Raw genomic sequence first — 6,000 nt, forward strand, 5'->3', positions numbered from 1 at the left:
CATGCCTACCAGTGGAGTCACAGACAATTCATTTCATTTTTTGAATCTCGGTTTTCACCTCTGTAAAATCAGCATTATGAATATCCTGCCACACTTCCCATATTTGGCTACAGCAGGGGTCAAATGAAATACTGTATGTAAGGGGTAAAAAAGCTTTGTAGTCTAATAAGTGCTATGCAGGTACGTGTTTTAACAGAATGGGAATTGTACATTGACTGTCAAAGAGTAAACAAAAGACTAGAAATTAATTATTTTAGAGCAATTTGTTAGAAATACACATAAAAAATGTTAAATGACCATGACTTGTTCCTTCATCTCCAATCCCTAGGCTGAATAATTTAGCTAGAATAGCCAGAGAAACAAGTAATCTCTTCTCCTAGTATCATATCTTTAAAAATCCAAAGACTGAAAAAGATCATCAATATGTGTGTGTGGTTAGCCATGTCCTAAGTGAAAAATTATACAAAATCCTAAAGTCAACTACATATTTGTTTTTATCATTGAAAGAGATAAAAGTTAACACTTCTTATTCTAGGCTTTTATGGGCCCAAACTATCATGTGTTTTTACTGTCCTTTAAAATCTAGGCAAACAGGAAAACACAATTCACATTTAATTGTGCCTTCTATTGTCTCGCTGCTTTCAGTGAGCTTATTTTTTAAAATAACCTTTACTGCTTGTAACTATAGAGGAAGCACTGTAGTACACAATGGAAATTCAGTAGTAAACAAAAATAAATATCCCATTCTCACAGAGATGTCACTCTTGTGGGGAAAGACAGGGTAAAGGCTAAATACAAAGTGAAATACAGAGTAAGTTAGATGCAGAAAAGAGGAATAGGGTATCTGGGGTTGTGATTTGGTTCGTGTTTTGTTGTTGTTTTTAGAAACAGGGTCTCACTCTGTTGCCCAGGCTGGAGTGCAATGGCACCATCATAGCTCACTGTAGCATCCAACTCTCCAACTCCTGAGCTCAAGCGATCCTCCTGCCTCAGCCTCCTGAGTAGCTAGCACTACAGACAAATGCCACCACACCCAACTAAATTTTTAAAAATTTTTTGTAGAGAGAGAGTCTTGCTATGTTGCTAGGCTGGTCTCAAACTTCTGGCCTCAAGCCATCTTCCCACCTTGGCCTCCCAAACAGTTGGGAATACAGGCATGAGATACTGCACCTGGCCATTGGTTTGTATTTTTAAATAGGGTTGTCAGTCAAGGCCTCATTGAGAAGGTGACTTTTGACTAGATACCTGAAGGAGATGAGAGAGTGAACCAGGAAGACCCTTGGAAGGAGAGGATTCAAAGTCAAGGAACCAGCAGCTGTAGAGGCTTTGAGGTGGAAGCATGGTGCACCTATTCAAGGAGCAGCAAGGAGGTCAGTGTGAGCGAGAGAATAGTAGGAGGTGAGTTCAGAGAAGTGAAGGGGTAGATCATAGATGGCTTACCAGGCTCTAGCTTATACTCCATATGAAATGGGGAGCTATCGGAGAAATTTGAGCTGTGTCAGCAGGATCACACTGGCAACTAGAGAATATGTCGGGGAAGAAGGAGGCAAGCAGGGAGATTACTGCTGTAGTAATTCACAGGAGACGACTGTGAGTTAGTGCAGGGCAATTGCAGTAAAGGTGATCACAGGTGTTTGAATCATAGATATATTCTCAAGGCAGAGCTGGCAGAATTTGCTGATGTAACAGATACATGTTGTGAAAGGAAGAAATCCATGATGACTCCAAGATTTTGGTCTAAGCAACCAAAAACATGGAGATGCCACTACCTGGGATAGAGTTTTATGGAGATAGGTTTTGAGGAAAGTGGAGACCAGGAGCTCTATTTTGTGTGTTTGAGGTTCACAGCACCTATGAGACATCCAAGTGAACATTTGGATTATACATCTGGGCTTATCAGTTTGAGGCTCAAGGGAGAGGAATATACTTGGTAGTTGCCAAAATACAGACAACTCTCATGTCTCCTTAAAATATATACAAGCAAGCTGTACCCTGACCACCTTGGACACGTGTTGTCAGGACATCCTGAGGCTGTATCATAGGTGCCTTCTTAACCTCGGCAAAGTAAACTCTCTAAATTGATAGAGACTTGTCTCACTTACTTGTGAGTTCACAAGTGCTTTGAAAAGAAACCAACTCTGATGTCTAAAAGAATTTTGTAGTGACAATACATTGATACAAGTCTTTATATTATTAAGAGAAAAATGTTTTCAAAGAGTTCAAAACATCACACACACGGAAATATAAAAAAGATATGACAAGAGTTTTATTTACTTCATTCACTAATGAAGAAGTTGGTAAGACGTTACAAATCAGTTCAAAGAAGAATTTGAAGAATGATACACATGTGCATATACATGTATTTAAAATCATGAGACTCCACCAAGCCTTGAGGCACTCAAAAATTAAGACCTTCAGGAGATGAGAAGAAATCTGTAGAGACTGGGAAAGAGTAGCGTGTGAGGTAAAAGGGAAATCAGGAGGGTGATGTCTGAACAAGGGAAGAATGTGCAAACAACAAATGGGCATGGGCTGGGCATGGTGGCTCATGACTATAATCCCAGAACTTTAGGAGGCTGAGATGAGCGGATCACCTGAGGTCAGGAGTTCAAGACCAGCTTGGCCAACATGGCAAAACCCCGTCTTTATTAAAATACAAAAATTGGCTGGGCACGGTGGCTCATGCCTGTAATCCCAGCACTTTGGGAGGCTGAGGCGTGTGGATCATGAGGTCAGGAGATTGAGACTATTCTGGCTAACACTGTGAAACCCCGTCTCTACTAAAAATACAAAAAATTAGCCGGGCGTGGTGGCGGGTGCGTGTAGTCCAGCTACTTGGGAGGCTGAGGCAGTAGAATGGCAGGAACCCGGGAGGCGGAGCTTGTGGTGAGCTGAGATCATGCCACTGTACTCCAGCCTGGGCGACAGAGCAAGACTCTTATCTCAAAAAAAAAAAAAAAAAAAAAAAAAATTAGCTGGGTGTGGTGCACACCTGTAATCTCAGCTACTCAAAAGGCTTGAGGCAGGAAGATCGCTTGAACCCAGGAGGTAGAGGAGGTTGCAGTGAGCCAAGACTGCACCACTCCAGCCTGGGTGACAGAGAGAGACTCTGTCTTAAAAAAAAAAAAAAAAAAAAAAAAGAAGTGTGCGTAATCAACTGTCTCAGATGCTGCTGGCTGCTGATAGGTCAAGTATGATGAGGATTAATAAGTGACCCTTGGATTAAGCAATGTGGACATTCTTTATGATCATGGCAAGACCAGTTTAGATGGAGTATGGTATCGGAAAGCCTATTTTAAAGTAGATTCAAGCAAAAAAAAAAAAAAAAAAAAAAATGAGAAGAGAAAAAAGGAGCCAGCACATATAATCCACCCTTTTGAGGAGCTTTTCTGTAATGAGAAGAGAGATCTTTTCTTTGTTTCTTTTGTAAAGGAAGTCAAAGTGAGATGCTTGAAACTGTGATTGTGGAAGGGCGTACACATTGTAAACAAGGCCTGTAAGGGAGGGTTTTCAATCTCAGCCTCATTGACATCTGGGGCTGGAAAATTCTTTGTTGTAAGGAACTGTTCTGTGCTTTATAGGATATTTAGCAGCTTCCCTATCCTGTACCCAACTAAATGCCAGTAGCACCTACCAGCTATGACAATCAAAAACATCTCCAAACATTCCCATATGTTCTCCTGGAAGCAAAATTGCCTGTAGTTGAGAACCACTGGTCTATAAAAATGATGGTAAGTAGCTGAGATATTGTAAAAGATAAAGTCATTGGAGAATCAAAATTCAAGTGATTGAAAGAATGGGGAGGTAGAAAAAATCATCTATATGTTTATTAAAATCTTCAAAAATTAGAACAGAAGCATGCTGAAGAGAATGACACCGAGCCAGAGCTAATTCTTCTGTGAACAAGGGGAACTGACAGGCATCAGATGATCGCAACCAGGAGAGATAGTGGGTGGCATTACCTCAAAATAGGAGCATCAAAAATGGAAAATATTAGGGAAAGAAGAGGGAAAGTGATCTGGAAATGGCAACGAGAAGGAGAAAGAACTCCTACCCCACCTCCAAGGGTAGAGAAAACACAGGAGCGAAAATAGCAACCACCTAAAAGGGCCACAGTAGTTTTAAGGAAGAGATGGGTTTCAGTAAGAGCAAAAAAGAAGGAAACAGAAATTTATGAGGATATAAAGCATTTTGCTGATGACTGAAGGTATTGGAAAAGGACTTCAAAATTTGGGAAGACTGGGAGATGGGTCAGATGTACAGACCCTTGCGAGGAGTATAGTACAAGAGATAAGGATGCCCTGGAAAAAAAGGGAATCCTTTAGAGATTTACCTTGGCAGAGATAAAGAACACTATAATAGTAGGCACTAAAATGGAATAAATTAATGAATGTATTGAATAAAAGTTCGCTTGGTTTATGCACTTATTTATACATTTCAACATTTACTTGGTTTATGTCTATAAATTTTCTTTAAAGCATGGTGATGTAGGTAGTAATGTGCTTATTTAACAAAATAAAATAGAGAAATGAAGGGCTTAGGCAAAGATTACAAAACTGGTTAGTGGCAGGGTTTAAATTAGGTCTACTTATGGGGTGCTACTTTTCTTAAAAATACATTGCCTTGATGTTTCTTCAGCCATAAGGTGTGTAGTTCAGAAAGTCTTCCTAATTCAAAAGCAGAATTTAGGGCTACTAAAGGATAGACAACCAAGGTATACAATGAAAGAGTTCTACATGCCATAGCTTTTTGGCGCTATGCAAGTCTAAGCTGTGCAACTCTCCTGGGAACCATCAGAAGACACTACAGTTGGTCCAGACACGTTAGCGTCTTCTCCAGACTTCCTTCCTGATGCAATCAGAATAAATGAATACATTAAAAAGAGTGTAAACCAAAAATAAAATGACCCGACCATTTCATTGGACCCCTCCTCTCAGCCAAAGGCATTCCAGAGTTAACCTGAAAATCTAATTCAGGCAGTGGTGGAAGATGGGGTCAGACATGCCTCATTATACCCTCCAGCATTAACATCAACAAAAAAACCTTATAGTCAGGACCTCCTGGAGCTGTGTCACTAGCACGTTCTTAAAGTTGGCAAAATAAATTGAGACCTGTCTCAGATACTTATGGGTTCACAACACTTTGCAAAGAAACCTACTCTTATGTCTAAAATAATTTTGTAGTGAATACATTGATATAAATCTTTATATTAAAAGAAATGTTTTTGAATGGTTAAAAACATGGCACACATGCAAATATAAAAAAAGACAAAAATTTTCTTTACCTCATTCACTATTTATGAAGAAGTTGATGTTAAAAATCAGTTCAAAGAAGAATTTGAACAGATAAACGTGCATACACACTATATACATACATGTATATGTAAATAAGAATTCTGAAGTGAATTTGGTAATAGAGGCAAAACTGTTTAAGATCTTATATCATATAGAGTAGTAATAGATACAAAATTATCTATAGGGAATATCAATCTACATGTGAATACCTCATAGGGCAATAAAACTCGGGTTATTTTTCCTACCAGAGTGGAAATTAATTGTATCTGAACAAAATTCCTTTGCATTTCTATGGACAAGAGACATTTGCATGACTTCAGTTTTCCATCATTTAACTTCTACCCCTGCAGAACTAATAATGTAACCAAGTCAATAGAGGTCAAAGAAGTATACCCCCATGGAACTAGATAATCCTAAAAGGTCAGCTAGGCACACCCAATACTCCACCTTTTTTGTGTATGTTCAAGTCTTCAGCAACTTTTTCTTGACAATGCTGTGTGTCTTAGAAATTTGCTGGGAGCCTTTTATTTGTGTATCATCTCTCAAAAACTTTCCTAGTAACTTCTATGGGTTTTTTTTCCCCCTTCTTTTACCCCAAGAATTGGCAGGCCTTTTTCTTTTTTTATGTGTAAACCAAAAGTATCTGAGACAGGTCCCAATCAGTTTAGAAAGTGTATTTTGCTAAGGTTAAGGACTTGCCCATGAC

The sequence above is a fragment of the Homo sapiens genome, chromosome 8, assembly GCF_000001405.40.
Source record: "Homo sapiens chromosome 8, GRCh38.p14 Primary Assembly".
NCBI classification, from domain to species: Eukaryota; Metazoa; Chordata; class Mammalia; order Primates; family Hominidae; genus Homo; species Homo sapiens.